This window comes from Homo sapiens, chromosome 17, assembly GCF_000001405.40.
Source record: "Homo sapiens chromosome 17, GRCh38.p14 Primary Assembly".
NCBI lineage: Eukaryota > Metazoa > Chordata > Mammalia > Primates > Hominidae > Homo > Homo sapiens.
This window is the reverse complement of record NC_000017.11, coordinates 52,229,915-52,249,534: the sequence shown is the minus strand read 5'-3', so window position 1 is coordinate 52,249,534 and position 19,620 is coordinate 52,229,915. Positions and strand designations below refer to the sequence as shown.

General features: G+C 37.5%; 1 long non-coding RNA gene across 1 annotated transcript; it reads right to left on the bottom strand.

Moving 5' to 3' along the window:
* Window positions 1–12,586: 12,586 nt before the first annotated feature.
* LOC105371829 (uncharacterized) lies at window positions 12,587–17,965 on the bottom strand. The gene is made up of 3 exons (XR_934859.2): window positions 17,908–17,965; window positions 13,592–13,698; window positions 12,587–13,108 (listed from the first exon to the last, which is right to left on the bottom strand). It is a non-coding gene; the product is annotated as an uncharacterized LOC105371829 (long non-coding RNA).
* Between the last annotated feature and the right edge of the window lie 1,655 nt (window positions 17,966–19,620).

Below are 19,620 nucleotides of genomic sequence, written 5' to 3'. Positions count from 1 at the left end.
AAGCCAGAGTAAAGTGCACATCACTGGTTGGGGATGTGGGGTCAACACCAAAGTAGCCAGCCCCCAACTGCATGCCCTAAAGTCAGCCCCAATAGACTGAGCAAGCACAGGGTGAGTTGTTTTTTGTCTGTTTTTTTTTTTTTTTGACATTCAAAAATTTCTATTTTTATATAGTGCAACCTACTAATAATCTTTGTGTTGGAGTTCATTCCATTGGCTTTTATTGTTAAAAAAATCAATCCTATCCATGTAATCAATTTAAATATTGCTTATCTTTTCAAAGATATTTTCAGTTTTAAACATTTTAAACCCTTTAATTCCTTGAGAACATATTTTCTAAAATGTCCTACAATCTACCCTAATACTTCAAACATCAACCTTCTGAACATTATTTTTGGTGCTTTAAATACTTACGTAAGTTTTTATATAAACAATTGATTTTTTTTCAGTTATTTATTATTTTCCATTGAGTTGTCTCTTGGTTAATGTGTCAATTTCACTCTGGTTGAACTTTAGAATAACTCAATATTTGAAAAGGCAGATTCCCCCATTATTTTACTTTTTCAAAATTATCCTATATTTTCCATAAATTAATATCATTTCACTAAAGTCTCCAAACTTCTAATATTTCAATTGATACTGTCTTAAAACTATAAGTAAAGTTAAAAATAGATATTTAGTCTTTCTATCCAGGAAGATGATATATTTCTTCATTAATTTGTATATTTTTATTCTTTTCATAAAATGTTGCCATTTTCTTCACATGACAACAACATATTCTTCTTCATGGTTATCTCTAGGTATTTTTGTTTCTGTTGTTACTATGAAGTGTTATTTCTCTTCAATAATTATTTGTCTCTGTTATTAAATTTGTATTTTTATCAAAATTTAATACACATACAGATAATAAATCATCAAATAGCTCTACAAAGCTTTTACAACCAAGAGAAGTCCATTACCATCAACACCCCATCTACCTTTCCTGATTTCCAGGAGCAAAACCACCTTCAACACTTTGAGCTGATCCTTTCGGTATTTACTCCCACATTTCTAAGTAATCTGCTTATATAACTATTTATTGACTTTCATTTTTAAGGATTATCTATTGATTTTTCTCCCGTAGAAAGTACAAACCAAGATTTACTTTGCAGTCTCCCCACTCATCCTTCCAATATCTTATTTTTTATTTAATCAATAATCAATATTTACATTATTTTTATGTAAATATTATTGACAGCAGAGGAGTAGTTTAACTTTCCTTATGAACTTTTTATTTTCCCTGACATTGTAATTATCTTGTTTTTATGTACTTGTTTGGGTGGAATTTTGGGAGGGAAAGGAGGCAGGGCATAGCTTTCTATGTACTACTCTCTAATTCATCTTCATATTCTTTCCCAGTGGTGCAAAATCCTCTCAAGACATTAAAAAATACTAAGTGTTCTATCACATTCATCTTGTAGGAGTTTTCCATGGAGATGTGTACACTTTAGGCCTACTTGAAGTGGGGTCTCCCTCAATTCAGTTATTCCCTTGAGCTTTCTCTAATGTTGGCAATCTTTCTCTTGTGTTGGATCCATGGTTTACAAGATTCCATTTCTTCCCTTTCATGCTTCACTACTGTATTTTGGCAGAGCATATCTTTCAGTAGCTCCCTTAAAAATAGTGCATGGGAGGCAATTTTTTGTGTGTATACCTTGCATGTCTACAAATGCCTTTATTCTGCCCTCACATTTCATTGATAATGTCCCTGAGTATAGAATTTTAAGATGAAAATTATTTTCACTCAAAAGTGTAAAGGCAGCTCCACAACAGCTTCCAGTTTCCAGTGTCTTTGTTGAGAAACACTTTGCCATTCAGACTGTTGGTCCTTTACATGTACCTGCTTTATTCCCTCTGGAAGGTTTTAGGATGTTCTTTTTCTCTAATGTGTTCTGAAATTTCTCAGCATGGGTGGTGTGGGTTGACTTTCATCCATTTGGCTGGGCACTCAGTGGGCCCTCCAAATCAGGAAACCTGAGTCCCTCATGAACCTTTTCATTCTGGAATTACTTCATATTTTGTCCCTTTATACATTTTCTCTTTCGTCTTTTTCTGGAACTCTTCTCTGCCATTGTACTTCTTAGACAATTCCTTTAACATTCTCTTTTTTCTCTTCTATTTTTCATCTCTCTGACATTTGTCAATACTTCTTTTAAATTCTGCTTTACTGAAATTGTAGTTTTCATTTCCTAAACCTCTATTTTGTCCTTTACATATCTTATTTTTCTCCTGTTTTTAATTTTTTTTAATATCTCTTGGAATTGTCTGTTTTTTCCAGGTTTCATTAATGTCTATTGTGTTGGCCTTGATCTTTCATGTTTTCTCATAATTCAGAAAGAAGAACTAAAAAGTTAATTAGAAACACTGTGTAAAGTAGCAGAACCTGTTGCACAGTAGAATGATCTCACTGAACCATATACTTTGGTTGCCTCCTGCCCCCCCACACACAAATACAGTGTTATAGTATTTAGTCATTTATCCTGGACTGGTCACATTAACCAGAAAAGGTGTTTAAGATCTCCTGACTAAAGGGCACAAATGGATTCTTAGCCTTCCAAGAGCCACTAAAAAAGAAGGCTGAGGATCTCAGTAGTCAGTGAATAAACATGTATTTATTTCCTTCTTTTAGTACTAGCACTCTTAACTGAGCCTGGAGGTTCCTGCTGTTATCTTCCCCCTAGTATCCTCCGATTTTCTGCTACCACCATAGGAAAGGGCAGTCACTCACATGGGTGAAGTTGGGGACAGAATCTAGGAGTCTACGTAGGCTTTTTCTTTTTTTTTTTTTTGAGATGGAGTCCCACTCTGTCACCCGGGCTGGAGTGCCGTGGTGCAACCTCCTGTACTTACCGCAACCTCCACCTCCTGGGTTCAAGTGATTCTCCTGCCTCAGCCTCCTGAGTAGCTGGGATTACAGGCATGCGCCACCACGCCCAGCTAATTTTTGTACTTTTTAGTAAAGATGGGCTTCACCATGTTGGCCAGGCTGGTCTCGAACTCCTGACCTCAAGTGAGGGTGGCTGCCTCGGCCTCCCAAAGTTCTGGGATTACAGGTGTGAGCCACCATTGACAGCCCTGCCAGGCTGTCAATCACTCGCTCTCTTTTAAGCTCCGTAATCACCCACTACTTGACCATCCTCATGTACCTACTGCCACTCGTTCCTGAGCCTTTGATAAGCCCACAGTATACATTAGCTTGCTTATGTTTTCCCCACTGGCAGCTTAGAATCACATTTCTCAGGTTTGGTAATAAGTGAGGTACCAGTCTCTTATCTGCTTATCTATTTCCAAAATATCTCCCATGGTCTTTTACCTTGTGAGCGTGTATTAGGCCATTCTTTCACTCCTATAATGAAATACCTGAGAGTGTGTAATTGATAAAGAAAAATGGTTTCATTGGCTCACAGTTCTGCAGGCTGTACAGAAACATGATGCTGTCATCGGCTCAGCTTCTGGGGAGGCCTTGGGAAACTGACAATCATGGAGAAGGCAAAGGGGGAGCAGACACCTCACACAGCTGGAGAGAAAGAGAGTGCTGGGGGTGGTAACAGGCACTTTTAAAAAACAGATCTGATGAGAACTCCCTCACTATCATGAGACCAGCACTAAGAGGATTGTACTAAACCATTCGTGAGCAACACCTCCATGACCCAGTCACCTCCCACCAGGTCCTACTTTTGACATTGGGGATTACAAGTCAACATGAGATTTGGGTGGGGACACATATCTAAACCATATCAGGGCATATGCCATTAGCTGGTATCCTCATTACATTTTTTAAACTCCAGTTTCATGAGGGACCATTACTAAAATGTATAGTTATTTGTCCTCTGTAATAAAAAATGTCTATTGATTCTACACATTAATTTAACAAATTAATGTGTAGAATCTACAGATTTATTCTCATTTTCTATATATGTATTACCTGAACTCTTTCACTAATGATGAGTTTATCAACTAGTTTTTTTATATTTCTAGACTTAGAATTTGCAAAAAAAATTTTGACATATATTTACTTCATATGTTTATATTTTACATATACAATGTATATGTGTAAATATACAAGTAAATATATATTCATTTATAAAATACATATTTATGTATTATATATATAAAATTCTTCATGTATTATTGCATTTACAAGAAATTCCAGCAAAATGTTGCATAACAATGATTTTAGTGGTCATCATTTTTTCATTGTAGTTTCTAATGTTTTACCATTAAGCATTTGCTTTTCCATTAGTTGTGGTAACACTGTATTTTTTTATTACCTTAAGATAATACAATTCATTGCATCTTAGGAAAGTATCAATGCTATATATTTATCGAAGAGAATAAGCAAGTTTCATATGTTACATTAAATACATATGCATTTTTAAATGATTTACAACTAATATATATATTTGTTCAGGACATTATGTTCAGAGCTAACCTGCTAAAATAAAAAATCTTCCATCTAAGATTTATAAGAAATATTTATTGAATTTCATTTTGCCAAATGCATGGTTATTCATTAACCATTCATTTCCCAACACTATTGCAATCCTACTGTATGGCCGGCAGTTTGTTAAGCACTGGGCAAGATAAACAAAGTTCTTCTACCCATGACATCAATATCCTAGTCACCTTGAAATAAAGGTGTCTAAATATCCAAATTTGGTAGTCAGGAAAGATCTCTTGAAGTATGTACATTTAAGCAGAGGTTTAGGGCCTAAGTAATACAGCGAATGGTGGTGTCATTTAATACAATGGGGAATACTGGAAAGGTAGAGTTTTGGGGGCTGTGAGGGAAGAATTCCAGTGTTTTATTTGGGTATATTAAGTATGAGATGTCTATTAGGCAACCTGGTGGAAATGGCAAGTAGTCGGTCTGATATAGGAACCTGGAGCTCAGAGGAGATGCCAGAACTATAGATATAATTTTATAATTTTTCAGAATAAATTATATTTAAAAATATGAGCCTGGATGATGTCACCAAGAGAGTGAGTATCATGGGACTGGAGGAGAGGAATTAGGACGGCACCCTGAGAAGCTTCAAGAAGCTAAAGGATAGGAAAGCAACCTGCCAAAGAGTCGGAGAAGAAGCATCCTGTGAAACAGGAGGAAAAACAAGAGTGAAAAATAATGAACGCAATACCAGCAGCATTTTCAGAGGAAGGAGCCATAAGCTCAGTCAGAGGCTTCTGAGATAACTGGTAAGAAGGGCCAGAAAATTGAGCATCAATTTGGCAAGAATATTATTGACCTTGAAAAGTATGTTTTCAAAAGGGTGGTGGGCACACAATCAACCCCTGGTATGTACGTGTATGTGTTTGTCTAGCAAACATTAAGTTGCTGCTTAGGTTCTCACACAGACTAAGTGGAAAGTTGGATTTCACCGGGTTTGGAATTTTCCCAGGCAAGTGCAACAAAAGAGAAAAAGATATAGAGAGAAAGAAAGGTGGCTGTAGGAGTATGTAATGATGCACCGTAAAATATATCATGAGTAAGGAAAGAAGAAAATGGTTAATACTGAGAAAATAACAGGGCCCATGGAAGAAACAACTCCATGATATTTAAGAATTGATCCCATTAGTAGTAATGAAATAAATAGCTGAAAGGATACAATTTTTGATGAGAGAATTAGATGCCTGAGGTCAAGAGCTCAGGGGTCGTTCAGAAACAGTGATGAAAATTCAAGTAGGTAGTCATTGATGAAGACAGATGAGATAGGGTGAAGGAAAATATTGAAAGACAGGCTGTTAAAGACCTGAGAGGACAAGGTTGATGCATCATCCTTGTGGTTGATGAAATACTAATATTTTACTGTTAATCATTTCTTTCCCCACTAGTTGTTGGTAACATACTTTTAAAAAGTATCTTGTTCTATACTATGACCAAGGATGGTCACAGTAGCAGGAATTTTAAAAAGCAAAAAGTAAAAACAGTGAGTCAGATGCCCATTAACAACACATGAGAGCAAGTAATTGGCAATCCCTTTATAGCAACCAGAAAAGATAGCAGACTGTAGAAACTGACATTAATACACACTTGGGTGAGTTACAAAGTCGACAAAATGTACATTTTAGAAGCAGCAATGGGCATCAAAGAAGACCTCTACTCCCAAGTTACAGGGCACTCCTCGAGTGTGTGAAGTAAAGGTTAGAAGGAAGAGAGAAAGAAAATCAGTTTGATGTTGCTCACATGCAGAGTTTGTGGTGAAAAGTGATGAGAGGAAATGGGAAAGGTACCCGAGATAATAGACAACATTTTTATACTAGGGTAATTAACTTAAAATATTTCCTATGGGTAATGAAGAGTCACGGAAGGTATCCAAGTTTGTATAATTATTTTCCTTACAGCTATAAAGCAGTTTTAATGGAAGGGTCAAACACAAAAAGACCACTTCAAAGCAGCATCCTGAGTTGTCAAATGAGACAACTCAGACACCGAGTTATGAGATGAATGCTTACCATTCTTTCATTCTTCACAAACCTCTTGAATGCCTGCTTCATGGAAAAAAATGGTGTTGGGTACTGACACATATGAACAAATCACGAATGGGCTTGTCACAGGATTTTAGCATCAAGCTAGAATAAAAGTGAGGTGAAACATGTTTTAATTGGTTGGCATCTAACAAGAATAATTGAAAATGTGAAGATATTTAATTGTACGTGAACTCAATATGATATATATGCTAGATATATATGACACCTATATATTCAGTATGATTTAACAGTCATCTACTCCATCTATCAGGACAAGGAACTGGGACCCAGAGAAGTTAACATGAATTCTCAGAAATCCCCCAGGTGTTCTTACACCCATAACTGTTAGGCCCATCACGTTTCCATTCAGGTTTGCACAGTTGTAAAGGAAATCACTTCACACAAACTTTCCTCAAACTTAGGTGAATACCCTGGGCAACAGAAGCCTAGGGAATCAGGCAGATGGAGAACATATTAAGAATGTATTGACTTGACAGAGCACAGAAATTCACAGGTGAATTGTCAAGTAGTAATTGTCTGGAATCTGGAACACTGTACGTAGGTCCATGGTCCCTTGGAGAGAACTCAGCAGCCTTTCCACTCGTTAGACAATGACTCTGCATTCTGTGGGTTTTTTTCTTAGCTATTTGCCATGTAGAAAAATTATTCAACACAGAGATGTCTTCAAAGACAGACTGTTGGGAAGCACTTGCAGATGTGGAAAAGCTGAAAACCATTCTTAATTTATTGTTTGCTGAATGTGTCCTGCATGCCAAGTTAATCAGCAAAAGCACTCATTTGCCTCCTTCCATCTAAATCACTATTTCTTCTAGATTTATTAGAATTTTGAAGGCATGCTTAAAGACAGAAAAATACAAAATTTCAAAATTTAAAAAGAATTTCTTGTCAACAGTGCCTTTTTTTTTATATTACAAAACTAAAGAGGGTACATGGTATAACAGAAAGAGGGAACTTTGGCATCAGCCATACCAGTATTTAAATTTAGGTCTCTTACAAAGTTCGGAACAAGTAGCTGAACTTTTAAAGTAAATGAAAGTTTTACTTTTCTCTTAGGTAAAATAGGGAGGAATATCTCTGTCTTGGGCTTATTCCATCAACTAAAAATATTAATATATTCAATGAGATGGTAGAAGCAACAATAATTAGAGAACACTGAACCTCCATATTATACCTGAGTGAAAAAAAACCCACAGTGTATATTGGTTACAAGTAGAAATATCACAGGAAGTGTGCAGTGACCTTTACATGGAAAATAATCAACATTAACCTAAGCAGTAACAGTCATATTGACAACTTGTGCCTCCTAAAATGGCACGCTGAGAAGGACACAATGCCACTTTTGTGATATTCTTACCAAAAATCTACAACCTGAATATAATCATAATGAAATATTAGACAAACTTCAAACAAGGGCAGTCTACCGAATAACTGGCCAAATCCTCTTTACAAGTGTCGAGGATAAGAAAGATAAAGAAAGGCTAGAGACAAAAGATAAAGAAAGGCTAGAGACCCATCTCAGACTAAAGGAGACATAAGGAGACATGACAACTAAATGCAGCATATGATCCTGTATTGATCCTGGCCAGAAAAAGGACCTTAGTGGGACAATTGCCAAAAGAGTAGTAAGATTTGTAGATGAGAATAGCAGTACTGCATCAATGTTAATTTCCTGATTTTCATAATTGTACTGTGGTTATGTAAAACGTTAGCCTTTGGGAAGTCTTGGTGAGGAGTACAAGGGAATTTCTTGCTTGGACTATTTTTGGGATGTATAACGGAAATCAAAAATTGTTTCAAAATAAAAAGTTAAAATTTAAAAACACTTTAAAAACTTGAGTGTTAAAAAAAGTAAAACACCGGGAAAAAATAAAATCACATTTCTTAAGAGCATTCTAACATTCAGACAAGCCTTTCAAATCAGTGCTGTTTTGCCCCTGGGCTCCAATTAAAAATCATTGTGGAGAATTTTAACAAGTTTTAAATTAAATAATTAGATGGTTAGAAAATAAGTAGTCCAGGGCTTTCCAACTCAAATGAAATAATATATACTGAGTATCTACTGCATGCAAATAATAGAGCTACATAATATGGGTGATACAAAATGAAGACGATACAGTTTCTTTTCTCAGTCAGCTTTCAGTCCAGTGAACCAGCGAAGACTTAAAATGATGTGATAAAATAAGCAACTATAAATTAAATTGTGAGCAAATAACCACAGATAAACAAGAATAAAGAAATGTCATTATTCGGTGACACTGACAAATGCATCATTCTGATTTACTGGATAGATTCTAAAGAAGGGGAAACTCCCTGTGGCAGATTGCAGCTCCATCTACCTGGCAACTCCAGCCCACAGCCTTGGGTCACGGGAGTGTTGTGAGAAGCAGCACAGTATAGCACCACAAGAGTTGGAAGAGCATAAAAAATAAAAGTGTAGATTCAGATGCCTAAGTTCAGATCATGACTCTGTCGTTTATCAGCTATGTGCCTTTGGACATGTTACTTGACCTCTCCTTGTCCCAGTTCTTCATTTCAAAAATGAAGATCGTTAACATACAGAATGGTTAAATCAACCCAATGAATTCCTATATGCAAAAGACTGGCATATAATAAATGCTGTGTAAATATTATTATTCTGCATTGCTTTCTTTCTCTTACCCAGCCCACCTACAACAGCCCCCCTCGCACCCACACACGCACATAATCTTTCCAGAAGTTCTTTTGCTATTCCTCAAAAAACATTCCGTTAATCAGTTTCTTTTCCTCTATTTCCACTGCTAAATTTTTCAAGTCACTGCCATCTCTTGCTTGCAGGGCTATAATTGTGTCCTAACTGGTCTCTCTGCCTCCACTTTTGCCACCTTCCAATCCATTCTCCACACAACAACAAGAGCATCTTCCTAACATAAAACAGATGCTACACCTCCACTTAAACAACCAGCAGCTTCCTATTGCGCTTAGAATAAATTCTAATTTTCTTACCATGGCCTGAAGGTCCTCTGTGGTCTGGAGAGTGCCTCCTCTGAACTCATAATGCTTTCTTCCTCATTCACTATAGTCCAGCACAGGGGCCTCTCTCTGTTATCTGCATACTCATTCCACATCACGTCCATCTGCCCTCAGCCTGTGCTCTGCTTCCACGTCTTAGGATTCCTGTCTCACTATTACCATTTGTTACACATACTATTGGTTATCTCGGCAGCAATATACTCCATTTCCTTCTTCTGTTAGAATTCAATTTTGTTCAGGTTTGTATCCCTCCTTCACATGATCCATAGGATGACTCTAGTACAATTTTAATTTATGCCTATTATTTAAGTATAAATAACAGCATTCCCTTTCACTTTCAAAAGTGTCCTGATGTGTACTAAAAATTATATGGTCCCTCTCTCCATGGGCAAGTCCTAATTAGTGCAAGCGAAAGATCAGCAAACCATGGCCTGAGGGTCAAACTGAATGTGTGTTTTTATAAATAAAATTTTACTGGACACAGACACACTCATAAATGAGCATATTGTCTATGGTTACTTTTGCATTACAACAACAAAATTAAGCGATTACAACAGAGGCCTTATGGGCCACAACCCTGAAAACATTTACTTTCGTGCTCTTTACAGAAAAAGTGTGCTGCTCCCTGTTCTAAGCCAATCAAGGTTATTCATTCCCCTGTCCTGCCAGTGATTGGTGCAGGAAGGGTTAGAAAACCCAATCCTGGCCAAGAAAATGTGAAAGGACATCCCACAGGGAAGAACCTGTGAAAAAGTTATTAGCCGGTGAAAGAGACACATGGGGAGAGCCGGCATTCTACTTTTTCATCCAGATGATCTGGATATATGGATTTACTGTCTGGAATGCTACAGTCATCTTTCAGCCAACCTGAGGATGAAACCAACAAGCAGATATCAGAGCCAAGAAATTTTCAGGAAAGTGGAGCTGGATCACTGAAGTATTAAGCCTGGAGGCTATCATATCTATGTTTATCTTCTCATATGAGAAGAAAATCTGATTATTGTTTAAGCTACTTGAGTGTTTGTGGTTAAAGCTAAAATCATTTCACCTGATGCAAGGTCATCATGCTGGGATTTTAGTAGTGGGCTAGTCAACAAGGGAAGGAAAGTAGGAATGGGCTTAACTGGGGTAGGAAATTGATCAATCTGTAGGATAGAGTCTTGAAGGCATTGTCCAAAAATCTAATGAGAGAGTGCAGAGACAGTTTTACGTATTTGGACAATATCGATATCCAAGAGAGTCTTAAGCAGTGTTTAAAGTAGAATTAAAGGGGGCTTAGACAGCTATCTGCTGACCCAGGTGGTTACAGTTTCTCATTATTCAATGCAGTCTATCTTTCTAGAGTGAGACAGACTACAACAGCGGTTGGGGGTCCAGGGGATAGAAACCTCTCCTGGCCCGGGAGGAGAGGATCTAAAAGAGCTCAGCAAGTAGCCAGTGCTCCAGTTAAACAGGCTGAGGTTTTGAGCAGGGGTCCAGAACCAGTATGTGGACTAAATATGAATTATAAGGGCTGCTCAGGGGTGATAAGCTCATATATTCTTCATTGCCAAGAATGAAGGCAAGGGCCTTGCTAGATCTCAGCTGTAAATCTGCATATTTTTTTTTCTGAGGACTCCAAGTTTTAAATGTTGGCAATTCACTTGGATGTTCAAACAATATTATGCTAATTAACCATGTGAGGCAAGAAAAATCTTTTGGGGTCTGGACAAAATAAACATGGTAGTGGTTAGGCTACAGCTGAATGAAATGTGGGAGCCCAACTAACTCTGCAGATAGTCAGACTCTGAACCTGGGGAAGCAAGACAACACCTGGACTCTACTCACCTGTAAACAGAGATAAGGCTCCAGACACTCTCTTTATCCTGGTCAGGACTCATTCAGGAATGGGTCAGCCCTGAACCTGTAGCTCAAGTCTCAGTAAATCCACCTGCTGCAGGCAAAGGAAACTGAGTCTGGTTCAAAGAGAGGGTTTGTGTATCGGGAGAATAAGAGAGAAAGCTAAAGACTAAAGACAATGTAGATCCAATTTGTTGCAGAGGACCATTATTCAAGGAACGAGGCTCATAAGGAGACAAAGATCTCTTTGCCATATTTGGAAGTTTGATGAATGCACCAGGACCTGGTTTACCTCAAAGAAATGTTTGCACACAAATGAGTAGATACACCTGTCTTATTAGCAGGCAGCCTGAGACCAAAATGAACTAGAAAAAAAATTTACATTGCAAATGTTATAACAGTTCAAATGCTCATTTTTTAACATAGCTGCATTGAGCTAGCCCTGGAGCTATGATCAGCATTAGGGATGTTTAGGAACAATGCGTCTGCAAAAAGTGAGAGTTGCAAGTTGATACTCATCTTCCTAAATACCTACATTTATGCTCAAAGCTGTCAAGGAATTATTCATGAACCACTGTCTCTCCCTACTTGCCCTCCATCTGCCTCACATCAACTTCTTTCTCTAAGAAGAAATAGTGACAATGTTTGAACAGAAAACTGTCTTTGAAACTTGGCCACGTATCTACTAAAGCACAAGAAGAGGAAATGTGTATCCAACCTGCTGTATGTACAGACAAGAGCCTGAAAATGCACAGCATCGGCACAATCGCCCAGCAGAGCCAGTCTCCACTCGGCCTTGGGGTTACACAATCTGCTAATGAGATACCGTGGAAAACACTCTGACTAACACTCTAACTACAAACCACTTAGGCCTTTGCTGATTGACTTCAAACCCACAGAAAAAGACCTAGAGCACTGGCTCATTTGTAAGAATAATTATGCTATGAGAACCAAATCTGCCGTACAAGAAATTAAAGGTCTAGCACCAGGTAAATTCATATCTCAGGATTTTAAACTATAGCTGGATGCTTTAACTTAGCTGTACAAGTTCTCTCAGTCTAATTTGTTTCCAGAAAATACTAATTTTTCTTTATCAACATCATCATCACCCACCAAATCATAATAGCAGTTAATAAATATGCAGCATTCACAACATGCTAGACACTTTGCTGAATATTTTATATAATTTATCTCAATGAATACAACAAACTTATAGGGGAGATACTATTTTTATTCCCCACTTAACAGATGGGAAAAAAATAAGGCTCAGAATTACTAAGCACTCGAACAAGGTCCCATGGCTAATCATTGATAACACCAGGATTTAAACCTTTTTTTTTTCCTGAGGCCAGAAAATGCACTCTTAGTCAATATACTCTAAATAACGTGCCTCTTCCACTTGAAGACTATGATGCAATTTCCTAAGAGGCATATTTAGATGATAGGGTTACTTAGGCCCAGAATGATGGCTCACGCCTGTAATCCCAGCACTTTGGGAGGCTGAAGTGGGTGGATCACTTGAGCCCAGGAGGTCAGAACCAGCCTGGGCAATGTGATGAGACCCCATCTCTACAAAAAAATACCAAAAAATTAGCCAGGTGTAATGGAGAGTGCCTATAGTCCCAGGTACTTGGGAGGCTGAGCTGGAAGGATTGCTTGAGCCCAGGAGGTTGAGGCTGCAGTGACCCGAGATCATGGCACTGCCCTCCACTCTTGGTGATAGAATGATACCCTGTCAAAAAAAAAAAAAAGTAGATAATAGGGTTATTCAAATGTTTAATTTATTATTTATAACATTCTATCTATCCTATTATTTAAATTAATTGAGGTGTGCAAAAATGTGGGAATTGCATGTCAGGATCCTGCCTTTGTCACCAGTTTATATATTGAGACAACTTCTACCTCATGTAGCCCATCGATTACTCTGTTCTCTTTCCTATCTCTGCATCCCACTTTGTTTTTTTCTTCAAGCACCATTGGCTTTTGACACAGTTTTAGACTTCCCTCTCCAACTCAATGCTAAAGTTTACGTTTTGACATGCCTAAAGGTTTTGTCCCTTTTTGTCAAATGACACTTGTACCCTCCTTCTCCCAAATGTAGCCCCCAAATGACTCAAACTACCTGGACTTACCCTACCCAGTCTTCCCCCTAGGAAACAGGAAACTGACTATGACCAGTTATGGAATTTCAACTGATTTTACTATACTTTCATACCTTTTTTTCCTGCTTGACTGATGGGCAATAATATATGGAGATCCCACACAGGAAATGTCAAAACCCAGAAGACTCTGCCAGCATTTCAGGTCATTTTCAGTCTACAGCTAGGGCAGGCAAAACAGGGAGCCAATTACAATAAGCCAATTATAGGCCCCTGACCAAGAGCTGAGTCTGACTCAGGCTTACGACAGTGTGAAGTAAGAAGTTTAATGAGAAGTAAGAAAAACAGTTTGCTTTCTATTTTCTGGCTTTCCCTGACTGGAGACCTATTGCCTGATTCCATGTGTTCAACCATTGTAAGGCAGGGCCTGTAATGGGCTGTTTGCCATTCCCCAGGGAAGCACAACTGAGCTGAGTCTGGCATCTGTTTGCAGCTAATAAGGTCAGATTGTGAATGCCCAATCACAAGTAGAATAATAATATATGGTCACTCAAAGTGAGGGAATTAAATTCCCGTAAGTCACACCATTAAATACTAATAATAAAGCGTCAGCACCCTCTGATCTAATAATATATCTGATTCCTTAAAGAGAGTGAAAAGTAATACCTGGCAATGAGTGCTTTGGTTCATACTCCTAGTTATTTACCATACCCAGGGCGCTTGGGGGCTCTGTCCAAAGCCGTACACAGAAGTTGGAGCCCCTGACTGATAAAGTTAATATGTCTATTTGCTTCATTAAAGTAATCTAATTTTTCTTTTTAAACAAAATCCTGATTCACAAAATTTCTAATTGATCTTCCCTGCTGTGTTTGTCCCTACTGGTATTTTTTCTTTATATAAATATATGCACAAAGTAGTCTGTGTTCACAATACTGTAGCTTTTGGTTCAATTAAGCATTATCTTGTATGTTTCTGTTCTTGGCATATGCTGATACCTCTTCCTGAGACTCCTCCCTCTTTTCTGGACCTGTCAGACTCCTATTCATACTTCAGTAACCAACGTGAATGTCACTCATTTGGGAATTCCTCCCCAGCTGCTCATGTAAACCTCATCATTTCGTGTAGTGAAGATTTCTAGGCATAACCACAGTGATACTGAAAACTACTATTCTCTTTTTTACTTTATGGACAAATCTATCCAAAGCCACATGAGACTATAGTTTTCTTTGACTTTCATCAGTCTTTGATTTCATACATAGAAACCAAAGAACTTAGCATGTGCTGTTTATTACCAACTAGTAATGTTTATTACCATTTCTTCAAAATCTGTACTCTAATAACTGCCAAAACTAGAAATGATCCATCAATAGAAGATGGCATTTTAATACTCTACAAAGACACAGTTTAAACTCTCTTCCCTATTTCAAAATTTATATTTGTGTTAAAGTGAATTGAGCCCTGTATTTTCTCACTATACTGAACTAAAAGACTAAATGTTCTTCTATGTATTGAGCTAATATCCACAGGACAAATATTTCTGGTGTAATACCCATTGCTATTGACATATGGGCACACCATTACTTTAAAAAGTAAAGCATTTCCATTGCAGAATATCTCTAACATTTGATGAGTCTGTATTGATTAGTAGAACCCTGTGCTTGGTACCAAGGAGAATGTTGATGCTAGACAGGGATGTCCTCTTAGGCAAGTTTCAGTGTGAAGGGAAACTTCACATTTGCATCACAGCCTGTCTGAGATGATCAGACAAATTCACATTAGGTTGAAGGATAGAAATCCAAAATACAAATGTAAATTAACAATAGGATCTTAACTTCTTGGAACATGAAATGCTCACATTGCCAGTCTGGCGAGGAGTCAGAATTCAGGGGTGCCTCACTTAAACTCTGGGAAAGCCCAAGTAACTAGACTGTTTTTATATTCCAGATTTCATTTTTGGACAAGGTTATATTCATATCAATAATATTAATCTCTCTTAAGTCGTTTTTTTAAGATTATGACCTCTGTCTCACTATCTATTGCTGCGTAACAAACTCTCCTAAGACTCAAGACACAGTGTTCCCTATGTAAGTCAGCCAAAACCCAACTCAGTGTAAATAGAAAAACAAAACTTAAGCTTAACCAATAAGAAACTGCCAACCAGTCTCTAACTAGGGACTTTGCCCTGGAATGATCCAAATAAAGCTACTGCTCCACTTTAACCATGCAAATATTTTCTTTGCCTTGCTTCTGAGTTGACCCTATAAAAGCTTCCCCTTATGCCCTTTGGCAGAGCCCCAAAACTCTCTTTGGTCTGCCTAATTCACAATATGTTACCTGCTGAAATATACTCCTTAAAATTTTAATGTATCTCCATTTATCTTTTAACAACACCATGAATTCTATTGCATTTTATCAGCCAAAGGGGATGAAAAGTTTAGTTTATATTCAAGGACTCCTACCTTGAAGAGGAGTTCTAAAGTTATACTGCAAAAGTCATGGATGCATAGAAGCTTCAACAATAGTATTTTTGCAGTTGATCACAACCTCTACCTCCTTATTTGACACATATTTCTCTTTTGATGTAATATCATTGTTTAAGCTATGGTTGAGTTTCTGCCAGCCTGTTGTCTTAAGAGGCATTCTGGCCCTTACTATTATTACATACTCTGAGGATACCTTGTATGTACAGTCATTCATTGCCCAGGCATGTATTTTTATGGCTGCCTCATTGTCATGAATTCTTTGCTCCACTCAGGATTTTTGTGGTCACAGTTAATGAATGGTACAGAGTGCAGCAGAACAAGGGAATTTTTTCCAAAAAGTTGGAAAGAGAATTGGATAAAAGTGAATTAATAGCTCATATTCAATACCTTAGCATTGTGTATATGTAACTAATGAAATGACAGGTCATAGGGGGTGACTGCCATTTCCTGCTAAATTCCTTGCTAAAACTATTCTAGCCTTGGTCTATGATATGTTTCTTTGGAGTATTTTGTAGGAGATTTTGAATGACAACACACAGTGACTTCAACCACAGTTTCAAGACAGATGCAAAAAGAATCCATAAAACTACAGTTTCAGCCAAGTGCTGAAGCATATCTGAAAATTATTTCTCGTGAAAATCCTGGTTTGATGGTAGGTCCTTCTGTGCACAGACTCATGGCTTCTCAATCAAGCAAGTACATGTTTTACTTTTCATGCCTTTTTCTATTTTTCTGTTTTTCAAGTTAGTGAGCCTTTCATTAGTCAGCAGTTTAGGATATGTTTCACCTAGGATCTCAATAAGCCATTATAAATTTGAAAAATCTGTAATCTAGTGCTTGTCAACAATCTGGGACATTTAAAATTCAGGTTGCAAGAATCCACCCTACAGTACCACTGGTGTGTAGTTTGGGAATAAACACTTCTTGTTGCATTATCCTACACTGAATATCAGTACAAAGTACTGAATAGAGAAAAATCCATGAATACACTTCAGAATCAAAGTGCAACAATGTAGGATTTTCTGCAACTGGGAAATAGTAGGAATCAAGCCACATGTCCAAAGTGTTTGTTTCAATAGGTAATTGGGAGTCAGTAAATATAAGCACAAAATCTTTGGTTCAAATAGATCAAGGTTAAGCTGACCTTGTTGGGAGGATTATAAGAATAATAAACAAGTGGAAGAAAGGAGGTACAGCTCATCAAATGTTTTGTCTGATTAGCTGATTCTAATAGTGCAACAGAGAGCACCAGGCTGGAGGAAGTGAAGAGAGGGAATCTGAAGGCATTTCTTTTGAAAACTACAATTCTTCTTCAGGAAAGAAAAGCACTATATATTGTATCCCCATGGTGCATATGTTCTGTCCTAGATGGTTTGATAAAAAAAATTTTACACAGTGAGCACCAAGCTCTAGTTTCAAGGGAGTTGCTGATGAATTTACCCTAGCCAGAAGCTTCAAGCGAAAAGAGATGCTGTGCTAACCTCAAGGATACTAGAAAGCTCCAAGACTCAAGTCAAGTCATGGACAGACTGTAGGGTCACCGAAGAAGTACAGTCAGGTGTTTTGACCAAAAATGATTCAACCCAGAAGAAATGAAGGCAGTGCCCTCCATCTACATTCACACTCTGCATCACTGTATTTGCATAGCACTTTAAATGACATTTTCTGCAGCGTTTTCACAACTCGCAGTTTATTTTATCCACACACCTTCCCTTGGAGACAGTTCAGAGCAAGTTTCATAAAATTCACAGTATTTTTTAAGAGAAGACATGAAAACAATGAGAGGTAAAATGATTTGCCCAATGTCACTTAAATAATCAGGAACAAATTCAGAAATAGGACAATCACAGGCCTCTGCTTCTTAAAGTCACTATTCCTTTAGGATACCAGTACATTTGACAAGCATATTTGGTAACAGCCCCCCAGGGTGAATACCTAAGTCTTCTTACATGCAACTGCTCCTAAATTATCACTGTCCATCCTCTCCTTCCCTGCATTTGATCTGTGGTTAGCTTCCAATCACTTCCCTTCTCCCCATCCCTCCCTGAGAACAGTTAACTGACTCGGGGGGATGGGAGATGAACTTTCCTTTAGCATCTGCTGATTCTGTTTTATTAACTCAGTCTAATTCTAAAATTAGATTAGATGGATAATTAAAAAGCAAAGAGGAACAATCAATGTTAGATGTGGTCATTTGCTACAATTCCTGGTTATGTAGAGCCTGTGTTCATCAGTGGGTGATGGTCACGGGCAAAGACAGCCCATTGGGGTAAACACAAGCCTTGTGTATATATATGTGTCTCTGTGTGTGTCATTCAACTACATGACTTTGCTGTTTGGTAAGTCTAAAAAGATCCTCATGAAAAATATACCAGATTTTCCTGTACCTCTATGTGCTAGAGGGTCTCAGCCTGCTTTATCTGACAAATACTGTGAAATGGGCCCCATTTCAATCTGGAAAACACCCACTTGTTTATTCCCTGATCACAGACAATTTAACCTCTCCGATCTTCAATTTCTTCAACTACAAAATAGATACAATAAGTCTCATTTCACAGGATTTGGGTGAGTATTAGATAATATATAATACCTCCAAAAAATCTATTAATTTTTGCTTTCTTCATAAAAAAGTCACTTGCCAAACAATATACAGGATTATACACACAGCTAATTCAAACAGAATAAGGGTAAAAAAATTGTCTGAAATATATAACATAGTGTCTTAGTCATTTCAGGCTATTAAAACAAAGTACCATAAACTGTGTGGCTTGTAAGCAACATAAATTTATTTCTCACAGTGATGGAGTCTGGAAGTCTGAGATCAGGGTGCCAGCATGGTCGGGTGCTGGTGAGGGCCCTTTCCCAGGTTGTATACTACCATCTTCTTATTGTACCCTCACATGGCAGAAAAGATAGAGTGAGCGCTCTGGAATCCCTTTTATAAGAGCATTAATTCCATTTATGACAGTTCCACCTTCATGACCTAATTACCTCCCAAAAGGCCCAGCTTTTAAATACTATCACATTAGAGGTTAGAATTTCAAAATACGGATTTTGAAAAGAGACAAATATTTGGTCCATAAGATAGAGTTGTATCATTTTTAATTATTTAAATATATTCATAAACATAATGGCTAAATGTTTCCCAACTAGGATATGGATAATTTGTTTTGTTAAACAAAATACTGTGTAATTTGAACATTGCATGTCAATATTAATGAAGTTATGATAGGATTAAGTGGAACAGACATTTCTTTTTCAGTTTATTTACTAATTAAATTTCTGTGATGGTTTGATGTGTCAACTTAGCTAGACTATAGTCCTTGGTTATTTAATCAAACGCTAATCTCATGAAGGTATTTTGTAGATGTGATAAAAAGTCCACAATCAGTTCACTTTAAGTAAAGGAAAGTATCCTAGATAACCTAGGTGTACTTGATTCAATCAGTTGCAAGCCCTTAAAAGCAGAGCTGAGACTAACCAAAGAAAGAAGAAATTCTGCCTCTGGACTGCAGCTTTAGCTTCTCCCTGAGAATTCCAGCCTGTGCTTCTTAATGGCCTGTCATATGGAGTTTGGATTTTCCTAGGCAGATATACATACGTTTATATGAATATTCCTAGGCAGATATACATATGTTTATATGTATGTTTGGTGGATACAT